A 20,886-nucleotide genomic window follows, 5' to 3' on the forward strand; every position below is an offset into this window, starting at 1 on the left:
TAAAAATGCACCAATCAGCGCTCTGTGTCTAGCTAAAGGATAGTAAACACACCAATGAGCACTCTGTAAAAATGCACCAATCAGCGCTCTGTGTCTAGCTAAAGGATTGTAAACGTACCAATCAGCACTCTGTAAAACAGACCAATCAGCACTCTATAAAATGGACCAATCAGCACTCTGTAAAATGGACCAATCAGCAGGACATAGGCAGGGACAAATAAGGGAATAAAAGCTGGCCACCCCCAGCCAGCAGTGGCAACCCACCCAGGGTCCCCTTGCACGCTGTGGAAGCTTTGTTCTTTCGCTCTTCACAATAAATCTTGCTGCTGCTCACTCTTTGGGTCCGCACTACCTTTATAAGCTGTAACACTCACTGCGAGGGTCTGCAGCTTCATTTCTGAAGTCAGCAAGACCACGAACCCACCAGGGGGGAACAAACAACTTCAGGGTCGCCACCTTTAAGAGGTGTAACACTCATTGTGAAGGTCTGTGGCTTCACTCCTGAAGTCAGCGAACCCGCCAGAAGGAAGAAACTCTGGCCACATCTGAACATCTGAAGGAACAAATTCCGGACACACCATCTTTAAGAGCTGTAACATTCACTGTGAAGGTCTGCAGCTTCATTCTTGAAGTCAGCAAGACCAAGAACCCACTGGAAGGAACCAATTCTGGACACAGTACTATTTTGTTATTTTCATACATCTATAATTTTAGGGTCCTGGCTAGGGCTGCTGCTGTAAGTGATTGTAAAGGGGTGTGTGGTTTAGGCTGGGAGGCTTTGAGGTTCTTTTTTTCCCAGTGTAAGAGGAAGCATTTTGTGTCCACTAAAATCTATCTGGGAGTGTTGTTGAATGTTGGGATAAAGAGACCCGTTGCAGGTGGTGGGTGCAGGGGATGGTGCATGGAGAGGGGAGCCAAAGGAAGAGGCATAAACAGGGAAAGTGTCGGCCTTTGCAGTGCTCTAAATTTTTATTAAGGAGGTGGCAGGTGTCAAGGGCCAGGGGGGCAGCTAGAGAAGCCAAGCCTGTTTTTATTGTTGGCAGCTTTGAGACTAGTATGTTTGGTGGAAGGTTTGAGTTGTAGGGTATAGTTGCCAAGGGGAATGCCAGAGGGTAGATGTCGTTGGACGCACAGTGGGGCTGGATAGGATAAGATTGTGTGAGTTGTTATGGCTCCTGATATGGGTTTATCAGGGCTGCTGTAGGGGGATAGGATGCGTAAGTAGGGATGTAAGGTTGTAACAGCTGGACCGAACTAGCTACCTAATGGGGGTGGGAGGAGATTTCTGTTAATGCCTGTATGTCGAGTTTGAGGGGGTTGTTAATGAGGATTTCAGGATGGTAGTTTACTTGGGTGGAAGTCCAGTTATAGGCTGAGGCAGGGATTGTATTGTATGTTGTGGAGAGGAGGGATACACAGAGCCAGCAGTCTTATGCCAGGGAGGAATTGGAGTTTTTTAATAAGAAATGTGTGAGACTGAGTGTTTTGTATAGGTGTTCAGGGGTTGTAGGTGTTGGTTGGGCTGAAAGAAGGGTTGGGGTATTGATTATGAGGTGAGTTAGAAAGGCAGAGAGTGAGCAGAAAAGTAAATAGTTCGGTTTTACCTGGAGTGAAGCCACAGAGAGAGCCCCGGAAGAAAAGGTCGGTTATCCACTTGAAAAAGGCTTCTAGGGTGTAGTTCCGTGGGCGGAACCAGGAAATATCTTGTGTGAGGACGTGAAGTAAGAGAGTGAAGTGGCAGGATAGACAAAAGTAGGGCATCTAGGGGGATATGGGAATGTTTGTTAGTGATTGTGATTTCTGCTATAAGGGTAACGATTAGGCAGAAGGCTAAAATGAGGGAGACTTTTTGGCTAGTATTCCGATTGGAAGGAGTTACATTATATAATTTCACTGTAAACAATAGGGTGAGTAGTATAATAAATGGGGAATGGAGGGCTCCTTGAAAGGAGGTAACAGAGCATATACGACAGTTTGAAGTTATGTTTCTTAGTAAGGTTAATAGGTGAAGGGAGAAGAAATATGGGCGGCAGAGGAGATACAGGGGATGTGCATCACTATGGAAGGATTGGTGGAGAGATGTTAGGATTTTGTTGGATTGGCCCTGGGGAAGGACTAACTTCTGGTCCTTAACTATCTATTCCCCCTGGAGGAAGGCTCCTTGTTGTTGTAATAAGGTCTTTTCAGTGGGGGGAGCATTGGGGTTGCATTGCAGGGGTAATGAGGGGGAGGGAGGAGCGGAAGAAAGGGAGGCTTCTTTTGCTGCCTCATCGGCCTTTCTGTTCCCTCTTGAGATTTTATCTGTTCCTATTTGATGTCCCTGACGGTGTATAACTCCCGCTTCAGTTTTGAGGTGTGAGGCCTGAAGGAGTTGGTAAATAAAGGGACCGTTAGTGATGGGGCTCCCTTTGGCAGTAAGAAATCCCCTCTCACGCCAGATGGAAGAATGTGATATGCACATTTGGAGTCTGTGTAAATGTTGACTTGTTTGCCTTTGGAAAGGGTTAGGGCTTTGGTGAGAGCTATGATTTCTGCCTTTTGAGAGGAGGTTCCTGGAGGTAGGGGTTTAGCTCTAATTACCCGGTCAAGGGAAACAACTGCATACCCAGCAATTTTGCGGGAGTCAGTGGGCCCAGAAGAGGAGCCATCTATAAATAGCTGGTCATCAGGGTTGATGAGAGGCTCGGAGGAAATATTTGGAAAGTGTGGCTGCAGGTGATCTAGGATGTCAGTGCAAGAATGAGTAGAAAGGGAAGAAGATACAGGGAGTAAGGATGCTGGGTTGAGGGAAGTGCTTTTGGCAAGACTAAATTTGGGATTTTTGATAAAGAGGGTGCGGAGTAATTGAATTCGGGAAGGAGGAAGGAAGCCTAATGTTCGGGAGGAAAGGAGATCCTGCATATTATAAGGACTGTAAATGGTGGTATTTTGGCTGAATGTTAGTTTTCTGCTTTTTTAGAGTTAAAGTGGCCGCTGCTGCTAGTGCTCTAAGAGAGATTGGCCACCATCTTGTAACGCCTAAGGTTCTTGCCTAGCCACACCAAAGAATTGGTGTAGCAGCTGACCATGGCAAGTGATAGAGACACGGACTGAGAGAGAGAAAAAGCTGTAGGCTTTATTGAGCAGAGTGAAAGTACAAAGCTTCCACAGCATGGAAGGGGTCCCGAATGGGTAGCCACTGTTGGTTTTGGGTGATTGCCTTGTCAATTTTTCAAGGCAGGAGATACGTGAGGCGGGAAGCTTGTTACAGGAGGGAGAAACAAAGGTAGTAAAATATTTTGTGACATATCTTAGATTTTGAGGAAAACCAGAATTGCAACTTAGGTTTTATCTACTTTATGACTTTGCAGTGGCATGGCAAAGGAGACAGGATCTTACAGGACTTTACAAAGTATGTTTATAAGGAATTGGAATTGGGAGTATAGATAAGCTCTGCTGGTCACAGAAAAACAGGCAGTTAACATTCGTTTTACTTTAGTTTCGGGGGAGGGGGACGGGAGAGAGGGAGAGAGGGAAAGAAGGACATGGAAACTTACAGTGAAATTTTCGTTGTTTATAGCTTTCTTGGGGAAGAAAACACATGCACAAATCCTGGTGTAAGGAATATTTTAAGCATATATCTTCAATATCATTCATCCAGGACCGAGGTAAGTCCTGATGCAGGAAATGAGTGAGTTTCACAGCTTTCTGAGCCCCTATTCGACCCAGGAAGCCCAGCTGGCACCTCCTCTCACTCTGCCTGTGTTGTTTAATTGTTTAGAAGGTAGGCTCCAAGGAGCGAAGGAAGGAGGATTTCCTTTCTGTTGTCCTAAGACACCGAGGTCTATTCCTCAGCTTTTGGCAGTATAGATAGTGAAAGGTTGGGAGATATCAGGTAAGGACAGAGCTGGTGCAGTGACTAGAGCAGTTTGGAGTTTGTGGAAGTTGGGGAGTATATTATGTGAGGGATTTAGGGGTTCATTGAGAGGGCCTTTGGCCACTTCATAGAGGGGGCGAGCTAGGAGGGCAGAGTTGGGAATCCATATTTTTAAAAAGCCTGCTACCCCTAGGAAAAAAAAATGATTTTGCTTCGGGAGGAGGGCAGGGGTAGATTATCTGTTAATGCTGCTCGGGCTGGGGTCATAGCTTGGGCCCCAGGGGAAAGCCGAATTTCTAAGTAGGTCACCATGCAGGTGGAGAGTAGTGTGGAGTTTTGAAAGGATGTCTCTGCCCAGGAGCAGAGTTGGACATAAGGGCAGGATTAAGGAAGAGTAAGTGAAGGAGAAGTTGTGTAGGGAGCAGAAGAGTGGAGGGGTGGCTCGGGGTTTGGAGACTTGTCCATCAATTCCTACAGCAGAGACCTGGGAGGACTTGGTGGGTCCTCCAATCCTTTAGCTAGACACAGAGCCCTGATTGGTGCATTTTTACAGAGTGCTGATTGTTGTATTTACAATCATTTAGCTAGACACAGAGTGCTGATTGGTGCATTTGCAATCCTTTAGCTAGACACAGAGTGCTGATTGGTGTATATATACACACATTTTTTTTGAGACAGAGTTTTTTTTTTTTTTTTTTTTTTTGAGACAGAGGTTCTTTCTTGTTGCCCAGGCTGTAGTGCAATGGCGTGGTCTCAGCTCACTGCAACCTCTGCCTCCCAGGTTCAAGTGATTCTCCTGCCTCAGCATCCCAAGTAGCTGGGATTGCAGGCGCCTGCCACCACACCTGGCTAAATTTTTTGTATTTTTAGGAGAGATGAAGTTTCATCATGTTGGCCAGGCTGGTCTTGAACTCCTGACGTCAGGTGCTCCACCTGTTTTGGCCTCCCGAAGTGCTGGGATTACAGGCATGAGCCACTGTGCCCAGCTGTACATTATTTTAATAATAAAGCAACAAGTTTTCTTCCCTGTTCCCTGTGTATTTTCTACGTTGTAAGCAAAATGATACTCTTAAATTTGGATCTGATCTTGTTCTTCTTCTGCTTAATGCCATTCAATTGCTATCCAGTTGCATTTAGGTTACTCTTTAAACTGTTAGTGAGATTTATTAAAGCTTTTGGATTTCTTATTAATCTGGCTGCTGGCTACAGCTTCCCTTTAGCTTCACATCTCCACCCTATTTCCTTTGTAAGATATATTCTAGCAGGATTAAACTTGCCTTCATTTCTAAACACACTACTGTAATTTTTTTGATTCATTGCACAAAATACTTTGTTCTTATATTTAATATTCTTTTCCTGTCATTTGCTAACTTAACTTCTACACATACTTCACGTATTTCAACATCCGTTTACAGGTTATTTACTTTAAAAAGGCTTTTCTGACCCGTAAATGAACATAATATGTCACTCTTTTCATATACTATTGTAAGTGCCTATTTTTCACCAGATTTTAAGCACTTTACACTCATATGTTGCTTAACGAAGGAGATACCTTCTGGGAAATGCATCGTTAGGCAATTTCATCACTGTGCAAACATTCATAGAGTGTACTTACATGAACTTAGATGAGACCACCTACTACAAACCTAGGCTATAAGATATAGCCTGTCGCTTCTGAGCTACACACCTGTACAATGTTGCAGTACTCAATACTGTAGGTAATTGTGACACAACAGTAAATATTTGTGTATCTAAACATATCTAAATAAAGAAAACGTATGGTAAAAATACAGTATAAAATAAATTGGTACACCTGTATAGGGTACTTACCATTAATGGAGCCCACGAGACTGGAAGTCGCTCTGGGTAAGTCACTGAGTGAGTGGCGAGTGCTTGTGAAGGCCTAGGACATTTCTGCGCACACCAACATAGACCTTATAAACACTGCACACCTAGGCTACAATAAATGTATTACAAAATTTTTTTCTTTAATAATAATTTAACCTTAGTTTACTGTTACCTTTTTACTTTTTAAACTTCTTAATTCTTTCTTTTTGACTCTTCTTATAATACTTAGCTTAAAACACAAACACATTATACCATTATACAAAAATATTTTCTTTATATTCTTTTTCTATAAGATTTTTCTTATTTGTAATTTTTTTGTAACTTTTTAAACTTTTTATGTTAAAAACCAAGACCCAAACACACACCATAGCCTGGACCTACACAGGATCAAGATCGATATCACTGCCTTCCACCTCCACGTCTTATCTCACTGGAGGGCTTTCAGAGGCAATAACAAGCATAGAGCTGTCATATCCTATGATAGTAGCACATTCTTCTGGAATACCTACTGAAGGATCTGCCTGAGGCTGTTTTACACTTAAATTTTAAAAAATAAGCAGAAAGAGTATACTCTGAAATATCAGTAAAAGTATAGTATAGTAAATACATAAACCAGTAACATAGTAGTTGAATGGAAAAGTGAAAAAAATGTATGTACTTAAAAAGAAGGCCTAATAGTGGTTGAAGGGTTGACTAAAGACAAATGACAAGGGCATAGTCAAGAGCAAAACAATAGCAAGTGTAAGGGGTGTAGGGATCACACAAGTCAGAGCAAAGGAGTGTTGCCTCATGGGTGGTAAATCAAGCTACCTTTATTGGCAAGTGCATTATGACAGTATTGTCCTCTGCAAATATAAAATAGATGAGAAAATGCAAAGCAGAACAGGTCAGCAGTTGGAGTGAAAAGCAAAGGATAGCAATACTAAGGTCTTGTTTTGGAAGGATATTATCTTCCTGGATAGGAAGACTAAGGTCTTCCCCAGGACAATGGAATACTAAGTGTTTTGTTGCTGTCTTCATTAATTTAAAGAGATTCTCATAAAAAAAGAGAGAACAATGACATTGGGGAATTTAATCTAAAAATTGTAATTTACACAAACATGTTTTACGTGTTGGAGAAAAATATAGTCATGAAGTCCTCCTTTTTAGTGTCTACATATATTTTAACTTTTCCAAACTCAGATTTTCAGCATGGAAATTAATCTTGGTTTTATGGATAAATAGTAAATATACATGCAAATTTAAATTTATATTATTTATAAACATATACAGTCACAAATGTAAGTTCTTTACACAAGTATGTCTGCAAATGAGTGTGTATGTGCATATGTAAGGGTTGTTTAATAGCACTGGAAATTAGTGTCTTCTTATTTTTCTTACAATATTATCTCCAATGGGATGCTTGTTTTGCTTGTCACCTCTTGTAGCTTGTACTAAGTGAGAAGATAGAATCACTGATTAACATCTAAGTGTTGTCACTGAGGAACAAACTGTAAACACGAAGGATATTTTCAAGGTTTTAAAGGCACTTTTTCTATAGTTTATAAGGACCTGTGTTATGTTCTTATGCATTTTACATCTTTCTTATTATAATAACAACTGAATATAGTGTGAATGAAAAGCTAATTGCATTTTTTACAATGGAAACTCACTTTTAGTATACCAAAACATAATACATCTTTACTTTTTAAAATGTTAATGAGATTCTTTATCATTATTAATAATAGTTTATTTAAAATATTATTTTAGGATCAGCTGTGCCAAAGAAAGCATAGAAATATTTACTAATATCTAAATCAAATAACGATAGTAAATTTGCTTTTTATCACCCAACATTTCTTCTGCTAGGGAACCTAAGTGTGTCAGAGATTCAAAATTGGGATTCAGTCAACTCTCTGAAAACACCCTATTATGCTAGCATAATGGAACAATAGCACTCAGTCGTGGAGCTTCATCTTAAATGGTACATCTATTATTACACTAATGATTGCAAACCATATGGTGTAACCAATAGGGCTGTCTTTAAATACACTAATTACATCAACTGCAGGCAATAAAACAGGTGCTAAAACAATGTTCTCACACACTGTTTTTCATTTACAGCTCCATAGAAGACCTTTAGTAGAGAGATTGGAATCCCAATCTATTTCCATAGACTCTCATTTGACATTTAAAGATCCTGCATAGCTATCCAGTCAACTCCAATTTAAACAACAAATATGCTATTTGTTAGTAAACCTAGAAATAGATTGTTTAAGTGAGGATTAATGGATGAAAGAAGAGGATTAATGGATGAAAGAATTTAAAGCAAATGATGTCAATGTTTATTGGGAGTTCTTTAGTCAATTTTACCTATTATATGTTGTGCCATTCTCCATTTATAGATCATTTTATATGAGTACACTTAAAGTCAAACACATTGGGGTCAAATTCTGGTCTTAGAATTTATTATCTCTAAGTATTTGAGAATGTTATTCAATATATCTCTGACTCAGTTTCCTCAGTTTTCTCGCATATTTAATGGTTTAAGTCATTATAACAAACTCATAGGGCTGTTTTGAGGATTAAGTGAGGTGAGTCTTCTAACCTGTATTAAACCCCTGCTTGGCATAAATACCAAATAAATGCTAGCTAATATCATAAAATAATTACATTGTAGGCACAAATACACTAAAAATATGTATCCTTGTAAATATACACTAAAAAATGTTTAAAAAAGGTAATATGTTCTAGAATAAATTGTAGATATTATCTTTACAGATATTGATATTATCTAATACCTTATACAAGTTTAAGCGATGTAAAATATTCATTATCTAGTTATATATTTTTTTCCAATAACAAAGCATTTAAAATGAAACTTGTATAGTCAGATTGCAAGAAAAAAAGTGTATATAGAAGAATTAGCAAACAAATTGCCTATTTGCAAACTACTGTTATATTAGTGACCTAAAATGAAAATTGGTTCTCAAATTACTAGTCTTTAATGAGATAACAACTTTAATGAGAGAGTAAGTAGTAACCAGCATGTTGGGGAATAGGAAAGCACAGTTGGTCAAAAATCTCTATTAAAGGATGTTACTGCTTTACTTAGGCTGAAATAACATGGTGGGGAGGAGGCTATGGGGTTTCTGGCAAAAACATGCAATTTTGGAGTCCACCCAGTCTCTATCGCCCATGGGTTTGCAGGCGTTCCCGCGGGTTTTGCTCCTGGACATGATGATCCTTCCTACCACTGCTTCTCTCACAGCAAAGTCTCAGCATCCTTCCTTTCAGATTTGTCTGACATTGACCTCTTCTCTGTGAGAGATTAGGAGGTAATCGCCATGTCAAAAGAATATTTATGGAGAATTCATTTAGCCACAGCATTAAGTTACTATAATAAATCTCCAGAATCATACGAAGATATTGGAACTTGCTGCCAGGGTTTTGAAACTTCCAGTTGGTCAAATGTCAGTTAACATGAAGTAGCAGGTTCAGTGAATTTACAGTATGCCATGAAATCACTTTATATGATGCAGCAGCAGGAGATCCTTCGCTGTCTTTTAGCCATATTCTCCATCAGCAGTTAATATTATCAACACTGCCAATATGTTTCTCCCTTTCTTTCTTTCTTCCTCCCTCCCTTTCTCCTTCCCCTACTTTCTTATTTTCTTGGTTCCTTCCTTCCTTTGTTCCTTGTTTCCTTATTTCCTTTTTAGATGTCTTTCCTCATTCTCCCTATTTATCCAACTATAGTTCTTTTAGAAATGATATAGTTGGAAGAACATGGAACCAAGATAATAGTGTCTTAAACCATAGAATTTCTTAAGAAGGATTCTTGATGAAGGCAATCTCGGGCTTGTTCAGCAGCCTAATATCACCATTAAGAAGCTTTCCATTTTTCTCATCTACTATCTCTTTGTATATTGGTCTTTTGTCCTTGAATGTTTTGTGATTCTTCATCACATGTGATATGGTTTGACTTTGTCCCCACCCAAATCTCATCTTGACTTATAGCTCCCATTATTCCCATGTGTTGTGGGGAGGGACCTGGTGGGAGATAATTGAATCATGGGGGTAGTTTCCCCCATACTGTTCTCGTGGTAGTGAATAAGTCCTATGAGATCTGATGGTTTTATAAGGGGAAACGCATTTTGCTTGTCTCTTATTCCCTCTTTTCGGCCGCCATGTGGTCTTTCACCATGAAGGCCTTTCTCATCCTGTCATGATTGTGAGGCCTCCCCAGCCATGTGGAACTGTGAGTCCATTAAACCTCTTTTTCTTTTTAAATTTCCCAGTCTCAGTATGTCTTTATTAGCAGCGTGAAAACAGACTAATGCAATATGACTTCCAAAGGTCCAAGAACCGCATCACTCTTGGAGCGGGAGGAAAGGGAAAAAAAATCAGCACTTCGTCCATTTAAAAGGAAGCAAATATTTTCCCAAGCCTCAACGTGGACTTCCTTCAGAGTCTCATTGGCCAGAACTTTGTCACACAGTAATCCCTAATTGTATGGAAGTCTAGAAAAGTAAGTGGCATTTTAGCTTCTTGCTTACTGTGAAAAAACATGAGGGAAAAAATGCTGTATACTAAGAAAACCTACAACTGCTACCTAATAGAAAAAAAGTAAGCAGAATGTAAAAATAACTTTAAAAATTAGAAAGTTAATCTTTTAATTATAAAAGAACTTCTGGAATATTTTCTTCCACAGGAAAAAATAAATTCTTCTCAATAAGGCTTGTATGAGATGCTAGCTGATAGGCAAATATATAACATACACCCTTATGATTGATATCAATTATTTTGGACCTTTCTAGGAATGTTGAGGACAAGCAGTGTAATTTAGTGCTGTTCTTCAACAGCGATGGCTAGCTGGACTCATCAGTATAAATTCACAATATCCTCTGTGCTGTTGGGTTTGGTTCAGGTTTTCTTCTATCCACTTCTGGATATTATGCTTTACATTCTTCTTGAATTATTTCATGTGTAGTTATTGTTTTTCTATCAGCAATATTTGCTCCTTGTGAAAGTTTTGATATTTTGTACTTAATATTTCCTTTTATGTTGACAGGATGCTATCAATCTCTGTCAGTAACTGAAGAAATGATTGATTTAATTACTGAACATATCTGACATGACACTGTATATTTTAATTAAGTTTATTTATAAGCAATGGAGTTTAAAAAGAGTGTTTTTGTTATCCAAAGAAACACCTGAAGTGATGACATTAAAAGACTCTAAGAAATAAACATGTTTTGTTTTTCACATATTAAATTACCTGGTAGATGGCATGCGATAAACACTGTTGGACTTACTACCAGAACAGCAGCACACAATTGTGTATTTCTAGGTCTGCTAATCAGAGAAAGTGACTTCAAGGGCCACTGTCTCTTTCATGGCTTGTTCTTCATATAAAGGCCACATAAGTTGTACACCAGTTTGTGAAACTTCATATATATATATATGTAATCTTACTAATGTGATCTAATTAGTTTTGCTATGATGAAAATTAGAAAAAATTACTTAGACACAGTATATGTAGTGGTACATTGGTAAATCAGCCCTAATGGAAAGGGGGGAAAAGTTTTGATTTAAATTCTTTGCTAATTTTTTGTGATATAAATGCCCCAGACATGGTCAATTCAAACAATGAATGATTTAACTAGTGGCTTGCTCAATTCCTATTTGCCAAGCGGCTCTCAGGAGCCACTGTCAGCCACATCCAGTTCCAAGGCAATAAGTTTATTGACTCCTATGGCTACCAGACTCCCAAGTTGTTGAGAAAACAGGCTGATAAACCTACTCATCTGTAAACACGTGCTACCTTTTAAGAATAAGGAAGAATGACTCAGAGGCCAGATGCAGAGGCCAAAGCCGTGGATGCAGAGGGTAGAGCTATTAGGCACAGAGGATCATTTCTATACTTGGAATCCTAGTGGAATGTACGGGATATTTAAAATTTTTTGGAATTGGTCATCCTTTTTTCCTTGATTGTTTTGGAATGGGAACATAAATAACTGTTATTCTATGCTTCCTTCATCATTGTATTTTGGAAACAACTAATTGTTTTCTAGATCCACAAATCTACAAATGGAGAGAAATTTTGGTGCAGGATGGATTTTACTTAGAGTCTTGCCTATAATAATTTAGACAATTTAGATAATAAGATTTGAGAGTTTAAAATTGATTATATTTAGATAAGATTTTGAACTTTAGCTGATGCTGTAGTTGTTAGAGCTTATGACAATGTTGGGATTGGGGTGAATGCATTTTGCATTTCGCATGGACATAAATTTTGAGAGTTCACAGGGGAGACTGTGGTAGGTATATAATGGTTTCTCAAAAGATATCCATGCCCTAATTCTTGGAACTAGTAAGTATTAATTTATATGGTAAAACAGACTTTGCAGATGTGATTAATTTAAGGATCTTGAGATGGCATGACCATTTTATGTTATCTAGGTGGACTCTAAAGGCAATACAAAATATCCTTAAAAGAGGAAAGTAGAGGAGGATTTGACATAGAGAGAAGAAAAGGTAATATGACCACAGAGGCCAGAATTGAAGTGATGCAGCCAGAAGACAAGTAATGCCAACACTCATCAGAAACTGGAATAGGAAAGGAATAGATTCTTCCTAGCGCCTCCAGAGGGAGCACATTTTGGCCAATAGCTTGATTTTGACTGAATTAAACTGATGACTTTGGACTTCAAAACTTAAAAGAATAAATTTTTGTTGCTTTAAGCTAGCCAGTTCATGGTAATTTATCCACAGCCACCTTAAGAACTAATAAAATGTCCAAATATAGTCTAAACAATATGGTGAGACCCCATCTCTACAAAAGATACAAAAATTAGGTGGTGTGTGCCTGTAGTCCCAGTTACTTGGGAGGCTGAGGTGAGAGGATCAACTGAACCCAGGAGGTCGAGGCTGCAGTGAGCAAAAATCATGCCACCATACTTCAGCCTGGGCAGCAGAGTGAGACCTGGTCTAAAATAGGGGGAAAAAAAATGTCCAAGTGTAGTTTATCCCATGTTTGACATTTGAAAAAGTAATCAGTATAATTCACGGATAATTTTATTTTGTTATTTTTTTTTGTGCCCTCCCATTCTCAGAGGGAAAGATAAGGTTACAGGTAAGTTTTACACAATGTCTTTTTATCAGATTAAGGAAGCTCCCTTATATTTCTAGAAATCATAAGTGAGTTTAGCAAGTAAACTACATCCAAAATCAATGTAAAATAGTCATGCTTATATTCTAGCAACAAGCAATTAGAAATTAAAATTTTAATACCATTTAGATAGTGTCAAAATATAAAATCACTTAAGAGGAAGTGACAACATATGTACAAGACCTTTACAATCAAAACCAGGAAACACTGCTAAGATAAATTAAAGATGAACCAAATAATGGAGAGTTATACCGTATTCATAAATTAGAAAACCAATTACTATAAAAATGCTAAGTCTTCCTAAATTGATGTAGAGATTAAAGATAACACCAAGCAAACACCTCAGGAGGTTTTTGTTTTTTTTTTTTTTTTTTTGTCGTTTTGCTTGTCTTTTTTGTTCGGTAGAAATTGATAAATTAATTCTAAAACTCAATGAAAATGTGAAAGTCATAGCATAGATTAAAGAAAAAAACTTTAAGAAAACCCAATACATTTATGTAATTACCTACATATTTTATAAATTATTTTTAAATAAGAGTAATAAAGACAAAATGGCATCTGTGTTAAATGAATAGATAATTGAAATAAAATGAAGAGTACAAAAATGACCTACATATATAAAAACAACTAACTTTTCAATAAACAATTGGGGAACAACTAGATATGCTTATGCAAAATTTAAGCTTAAATACATGCTTCACACTGTATAAAAATGGACACAAAATGGATCATAGACTTAAATGTAAAGTGTAAAATTTAATTTTCTATAAGATAGGAAAAAAACCTTTGTGACTCAAATTATACAAAGATTTCTTAGATACTGCAGTGAAAGGATGATGCTGAAAAAAATGAATTGATAAAATGAACTTCTTCATCAAAGATGGTACAGTAGATCCTTGAACAATACAGGTTTGAACTGCATGGGACCACTTACACATGGATTCTTTTCAATAAGAGTTACATTGAGTATTCCTGTGTCTCCTGATTCCCCATCTATCTCCTCTACTTCTTTCTTCTCTGCCACTCCTGATATAGCAAGACCAACACTCTTCCTCCTCCTCTGCCTACTCAATGTGAAGACAATGAGGATGAACACCTTTATGATGCTCCACTTCCACTTATTGAATAGTAAGTATATTTTATCTTTCTTATGGTTTTCTTAAGAACATTATTTTCTCTATCTTTATTGTATTAATAATAAAATAAGTAAATTTACAGTATATATTCATGTAACATAAAAATATGTGTATATTGACTGTTGATGCTATTGGTAAGGCTTCTGGTCAACATAGGCTATTAATAGTTAAGTTTGATCAATCAAAAGTAATAAGTGAATTTTTGACTGTGCAGGGGTCAGCGCTGCAACCCCTGCATTGTTCTAGGTTCAGCTGTATACAGATGGCAAATAAGCACAGGAAATAGAATTTAACATCACTAGTGGTTATGACTATACTAATAAAATCTACAACAAAATTCCAATACACAACTATTAGAATGGCTACAATTAAAAATACTACACAGGCTAGATGCAGTGGTGCAAGCCTGTAATCCCAGCACTTTGGGAGGCTGAGCTGGGTGGATGGCTTGAGCCTAGGAATTTGAGACCAGTCTGGGCAACATGGTGAAACCCCGTCTCTCCAAAAAATATAAAAATTCGCTGGGTGTGGTGCTCGCCTGTAGTCCCATAGTCCCAGATACTTGGGAGGGAGGCTGAGGTGGGAGGATTGCTTGTGCCCGGGAGGTTGGGGCTACAGTGAGACAAGATTGTGCTGCTGCACTCCAGCCTGTGCTGTAGAGTGAGACCCTGTCTCAAAGAAAAAAAAAAAACCCTACAAAATGTGCTGAAAAAGATATGAAGAATTCAGGATTCTCATAAACTGCTGACGGGAATTTAAAATAACACAATCAGTTGAAAAGCAGTTTTGCAAATGCTTAAAAAGTTTACATACGACTGTATGATCCAATCATTCCATAGTCCATATATCCATACAAAGATTTGTGCATTAAGGTTTACAACAAGTTTCTTTGTAATAGCTCCAAACTGGAAATAAATACAATGTCTACCAATAGGTACAGGTATGAACAGACTGTTACATCTATACAATGGGATACTACTCTGCAATACAAAAGAATATACATACACACTGCAGTATGGATGAATCTAAATAAATAATGCTGAGGGAAATAAGCTAAACAAACAAAAGATTTGATATATTATTCCATTTATATAAAATTATACAAAATGCCAACTAATCTATAGTGACAAAAAGTAGATAAGTGGGTTCCTTAAGGTGGGTTTAGAAGAATTCTAAGGAGAATTGGAAAGAATTACAACGGAGGTAATAAGAAATTTTGCTAATTATACCTCAATAAAATTTATTTTCAGAGTAGTCTCATTGGCAGTGCCAAAAAATTCCAGTCAAATTAGAGTTGTACAGGAATCAAAAAGAGATTTATCTTAAGGCAGAAGAATGTGAAGAATTGAGCAAATAGAAATGGAGATTATGCGAACTCAGTTGTGAAGCTAGAGATGAACAATACTTCAAAAGAAGATCTTTAACCATGCTATATCCTTCAGAAACCAGTTTTGTATATATATATATGCTTTTCAGGACATGATTTTTGTGAGTTTTGGTTTTGTTCTCTTTCTTTGTTTCATGTTTCGTTATTTATATGCCTTAATTAAAGAACCTGGCTAGCCTCAGCTTGTTCTATTGCTATTGAGTCACAGTTTCACACCTAGCATTCTAACCAGGCTCTTTTGAGAAACTAGTTGGAAATGAGTCAGAATAGTTATGCCAAAGTGGTACATAAATGTTAACATAAGCCTTTGATCTTCCTAAGATCTCACACTGGAAAAAGAAGGTTGCTTTTCTCCTTCTAACACAGTCTTTTAGAACTCATTTTTCTTTAAATCTTTCTTTACATTTATTTTAAGTCTTTGTTATTGAAATACAAACAAAATGTGAAAAGGATTGACCATAAGTAATCATCCAGAAAAATAGGACCATACTTTCAGCTAGGACACAATTATGGGTCTCTCTATGAATCTCCAAAACATATGTGCATTTCTTAGGATGTTTTCTTCATTTTATTATGAAAGATTAATTATCCCCATTGTGTTTTGTCACTCTAGGCAAATGTCCTACTGAAACTTGTTACTGTTTTGACTGCATATATATATATATATATATATATATATATATATATATATATAGTCTTTTTAAACACATTACAACTACTAGGTTTCACCCTATGGTTCAGTATTGCGTTTGATAGAAATTCATGTTATTTCAGGTGATGATAAATATATATGCTACACTTACTACAATGAGAAATTTAGCAACTCTGACACATTGGAAAGTTATTGTGGAGACCCAAGAATATTAGTAATTGAAAATTAGATTTGCTACTGAAAAATGGGGAAAATTTTACATTAATTAACAATGAATCAATTTATAATTATATTTTTGTTATTATATAGCAATATGAAACAATAGCTGTGGTCATTGATATTGTAAAACCATTAGAATGGAGTGACTATTGAAAACAATATTTTTTTCTGTTTCTTTTGCAAAAAAAGATGCAAAAAATGAGCTAAAGTCTTAACTAACCTATAATAATAAAGCTCATAGAAAAGATAAATTTTGCTCAATGTCATTGTAATTGTTAGAGTATATTATTATTATTATTATTATTGTAAGACCATTTAACACGAGAACTACCCTTCTAAAAAAATTTTAAGGGCACATTACTGCATGGATAACTATAGGCACTATGTTACACATGTGGTCTCTAGAACTTACTTATCTTGCGTGGCTGGAACTTTAAACTTTATATTCATTGAACAACTCATTTTCTTTTCCCTCAGTCCCTGACAACTGCCATTCTAAGCTTTCCTTCTGTGAGCTTCCACTGTGTTAGAGGCCTCATATAAGTGGAATCATGCCGTATTTGTATTTGTCCTTTCGTGTAGTTTATTTCACTCAGCTAATGTCCTCAAGTTTCATTCGTGTTGTCACATATTGTAGGATTTCATTTTTTTAAGGCTGAATAATGTTTCATTGTATGTATACATCACATTTTTAAAAATCCACTTCTCTTTCAGAGGACTTTTAGGTTGTTTTCTCATCTTGATTATTGTAAATAATGCTTCAATAAATATGACAGTGCTAATATCTCTTTGAGATCCTGATTTCAAATTGTTTGAGGTAAACATTCAGAAATTTACTTGCTAGATAATAGCATAGTCATATTTTTAGTTTTTTGAAGAACCTTCATATTGTTTTCCATAGTGACCGCACCATCTTTCATTCCCAACACAATGAACAAGGGTTTTAAGTTCTCTACAGGTGTGCCAATACTTATTTTTTGTATTCTTGATGATAGCCATTCTAACAGGTATGTAGTGATATCTCATTGTAATTTTGATTTGCATTTCCATGAAGCAGGTGCTGTCGAGTATCTTTTTATATAACTGTGGAGTTTTTGTATTTTTGTTGGAGAAATGTCTACTCAAGCACTTAGCCCATTCGTAAAATTGGGTTATCAGTATTTTTGCTGTTGAGTTATAGGAGTTCTTTAAATAATTTTGGACTTCAACACCTCATTAGATATATGGCTTGCAAATATTTTCCACCATTTAGCAGGGTGTCTTTCCACTCTAGTGATGGTTTACTTTGCTGAGGAGAAGCTTTTAAATTTGATTTAGTTTCTCTTGTTCTGTATTTGTTTTTGTTGCTTGTAGTTTTGGTGTCATATTCATGAAATCATTGCAAAGGTCAATATAGTGAAAATTTTCTACTATATTTTCTCATAAAAGTTTTACAATTTCAGGTCCAACGTTTAAGTCTTTAATCTGTTTTTGGTTGATTTTTGTATATCGTGTAACAAAAAAGTCTGATTGCATTTTTTTTTTGCATGTGTGTGGATATCCAGTTTTCCCTGCATCATTTTTAATAACAGACTATACTTTCCCCGTTGTGTATTCTTGGCACCCTTGTCAAAGATAAGTGGCTGTATATGCATGGACTTATTTATGGGCTCTCTGTTCTGTTTCATTGGTCTATATGTTTGTATGCCAGCATCATACTATTAGTTACTATATCCTTTGAATATATTTTGACATCAGAAAGTGTGATGCCTTCAGCTTTGTTCTTTATCAAAATTATTTGGCTATTTGAGATCTTTTGTGGTTTTATAAAAATTTTAGAATTTTCTATTTCTATAAAAATGACATTGAAATTTTGACAGAGATTGCATTGAACCTGTAGATTGCTTTGGGTAGTATGGACATTTTCACAATATCACAACTTCTAGTACATGAACATGGAATGTTTTCCCATTTTTTAAAATGTCTTCTTTCATTTCTTTCACCTTTTTTTAATAGTTTTAAATGTATCAGTCTTTCACTTTCTTTGTTTATTCTATTTTTTTTTTTACTTTGATGCTATTGTAAAAGGAGTATTTTCCTAATTTCCTTTTCAGATAGATACTTGTATATAGAAACACCACTAATTTTGGGATGTTGATTTTGTATCCTAAAACCCTACCAAGATTATTCATTAGTTCTCACGGATTTTTGGTAGTCTTTAGGATTTTCTGTATATAGAACCTGCAAACAGGAATAATTTTTAAGTGACAAGAGCATCCTTCTGTCGATCTTGATCTTAGTAGAAACGCATTCAGTTTTTTAACACTGAACATGGTGTTAGCTCTGGGCTTGTCATATATGGCCTAATATTCAGTAATTTACTTTTATTCCTAGTTTGTTGAGAGTTGTTATCATAAAATGGTGTTGAATTTTATCAAATGGTTTTTCTGGATCTATTTGGGTAAGTGTGTGATTTTAGTCTTCATTTTGCTTTGTGATATAACAAATTAATTGATTTTCATATGTCTGCTCAACCTTACATCCTATGGATAAATCCCATGTGGTCATGGTGTATGATCCTTTCAATGTGCTGCTAAATTTGATTTGCTAGTGTTTTGTTGAGGATATTTGGATTTATGTTCATCTGGGATATTGGCCTAAAGATTTCTTATAGTGTTTTGTTTGGCTTTTATATCAGTGTAATGCTGGCCTCATTAAATGGTTTTAGTTTTGTTCTCTCCTCTTCAAATTTCAGAAGAGTTTGAGAAAAAGTGGCATTAATTATTCTTTAAATGTTTGATAGAATTTGCTAGTTAAGCTGTCTGGTCCTGAACTTTTCTTTGTTAGAAGGTTTTTGATTACTGATTTAACTTGCTTACTTATTGGTCTGTTCAGATTTTCTGTATTTTAGTGACTCAGTTTTGGTGGGTTGTATGTTTCTAGGAAGTTTTCCATTTTTTCTAGGTTATTGAGTTTCTTTGAGTATAATCATTCATATGTATTTGTTGTTATCCTTTGTATTACTGTGGCAACAGTCATATTATCGCCTCTTTAATTTCTGAATTTATTTTTTGAGATTTATCATCTTTTTTTAGTCTAGTTAAAGGTTTGTCAATTTTGTTTATCTTTTTGAAAAACCAACTCTTAGTTTTGTTGGTTTTCTTTTTTGTATTGCTTTCTCTATTCTCTAATTCATTCATTTCTGCTTTATTCTTTATTATTTCTTCTTTATGATAAATTGAGTTTTATTTGTTTTTCCTTTTCCAGTTCCTTGAGATATAAAGTTAAGTTGTTTGAGATCTTTCCTCTTTTTTAATGTAGGTGTTTATTGCTGTAAGCTTCCCTCTTAGTGATACTTTTGTCGCATCCCATAAGTTAAGAATGATGTGTTTGCATTTTTGTTTGTTGCAAGTTTTTTCTAATTTCTCTTTAGATTTTTCCTTTGATCTGTTGGTTGTTTAAAAGTGTTGCTTTTTATATTTGTAAATTTTTCAGTTTCCTTCTTTTATTAATTTCCAGTTTCATTTTATTGTGACCAGAAAAGATACTTCTTATGATTTAAATTTCCCTAAGTTTGTTAGGACTTGTTTTGTAATGTAACGTGATCTATCCCAAGAATTTTTTATTTTTTATTTATTTATTTTTTTTTGGAGACAAAGTCTCCCTTTGTTGCCAGGGTGTGATGGCTGTAATACCGAAGCAGGGCAGAGAAGTGCTGGGTAGAGAAGGGCGGGGTCTCTGGCGAAGGCTCCACCCTGGGCTTGTGCCCACGGACCTAAGTGAAAAACAAGTACTAATGTTTTCAAGCCCAAATGTTTCATTTTCCAAGACCACTCTGGCCCGCCACGCCCCCCATCCTGTGTCTATATAAACCTGAGACCTTAGCGGGCATAGACACAAGCGGCTGAACATCCAGAGGAGTAGAGGAACAGAGATGCAGAGAGCAGCAGGGCCGCATGGCACAAAAGGAGGGAAGAGGCCTCTGAACTTCAGCTGAGAACAGCCGGACTCCAGGGGAAGATCACCTTCCACTCCGTTCCCGCCTTCCAGCACCCCATCCATCTTGCTGAGAGCAACCTCTACCACTCAATAAAGCCTTGCACCCATCCTACAAGCCCACATGTAATCCTGTTTTCCTGGCACCCTGGGCAAGACCTCGGGGTACAGAAAGCTGTCACACTGGCCCTCTGCCCTTGCTATAACGCAGAGGGTCTGTTGAGCTGATTAATACAAGCCATTTGCAGACAGCAAAGCGAAAAGGACACATTGTAACACACGCCCACTAGGACTTCAGGAGTCACAGACACTCACCCGTAGATGCTGCCCAGGGGCCTGCGCCTGCCGTGTCTATGCTCCCCCTAGTGCTTTGAGCAGCAGGGAGACCAAGGGAGTAAGCCACACCCCTGTCGCACCTCCTATGAGGGGGATATGGGAACTTTCCTTTTTCAGCTGGAGGGCAGTGGCACCATCTCGGCTTACTGCAGCCTACACCTCCCAGGTTGAGCGATTCTCGTGCCTCAGCCTCCGGAGTAGCTGGGATTACAGGAGCGGACCACCAACCCGCTAATTTTTGTATTTTTTTAGAGACAGGGTTCCGCCATGTTAGCCAGGCTGGTCTCCAACTCCTGACCTCAAGTGATCCTCCAACCTCGGCCT

The 20,886-nt window shown here is 37.1% G+C and overlaps 1 protein-coding gene across 10 annotated transcripts in view, besides 1 other annotated feature; it reads left to right on the forward strand.

Annotated features, from left to right (window-relative positions):
* Positions 1-1,684: 1,684 nt before the first annotated feature.
* Positions 1,685-20,886, forward strand: part of LOC124903233 (uncharacterized) — a 46,627-nt gene continuing 27,425 nt past the window's right edge. For 2 of the 10 annotated variants that reach the window (XR_007063913.1, XR_007063911.1), the window contains exons 1-3: positions 3,017-3,265; positions 3,560-3,647; positions 13,893-13,985. Coding sequence is in view for 2 of the 10 variants with exons in the window: in XM_047430847.1 (XP_047286803.1) it covers positions 1,836-1,907; positions 3,560-3,647; positions 13,893-13,985 (253 nt within the window). In the remaining 8 variants the exon portion in view is untranslated. Of the gene's footprint in view, positions 1,908-2,366; positions 2,559-3,013; positions 3,266-3,451; positions 3,648-13,892; positions 13,986-20,886 lie in introns of those variants that run through there. The other 8 variants (XM_047430847.1, XM_047430848.1, XR_007063910.1 and 5 more) reach the window with 8 other exon arrangements.
* Positions 7,379-8,242: an enhancer, noted in NCBI's record as "OCT4-NANOG hESC enhancer chr13:55519922-55520785 (GRCh37/hg19 assembly coordinates)". NCBI's record gives its function as "activates a minimal SCP1, AML or CMV promoter by ChIP-STARR-seq in naive H9 embryonic stem cells {active_cell/tissue: H9 hESC(naive)}" and the evidence as "EXISTENCE:reporter gene assay evidence [ECO:0000049][PMID:30033119]".

The sequence above is a fragment of the Homo sapiens genome, chromosome 13 (assembly GCF_000001405.40).
Source record: "Homo sapiens chromosome 13, GRCh38.p14 Primary Assembly".
NCBI lineage: Eukaryota > Metazoa > Chordata > Mammalia > Primates > Hominidae > Homo > Homo sapiens.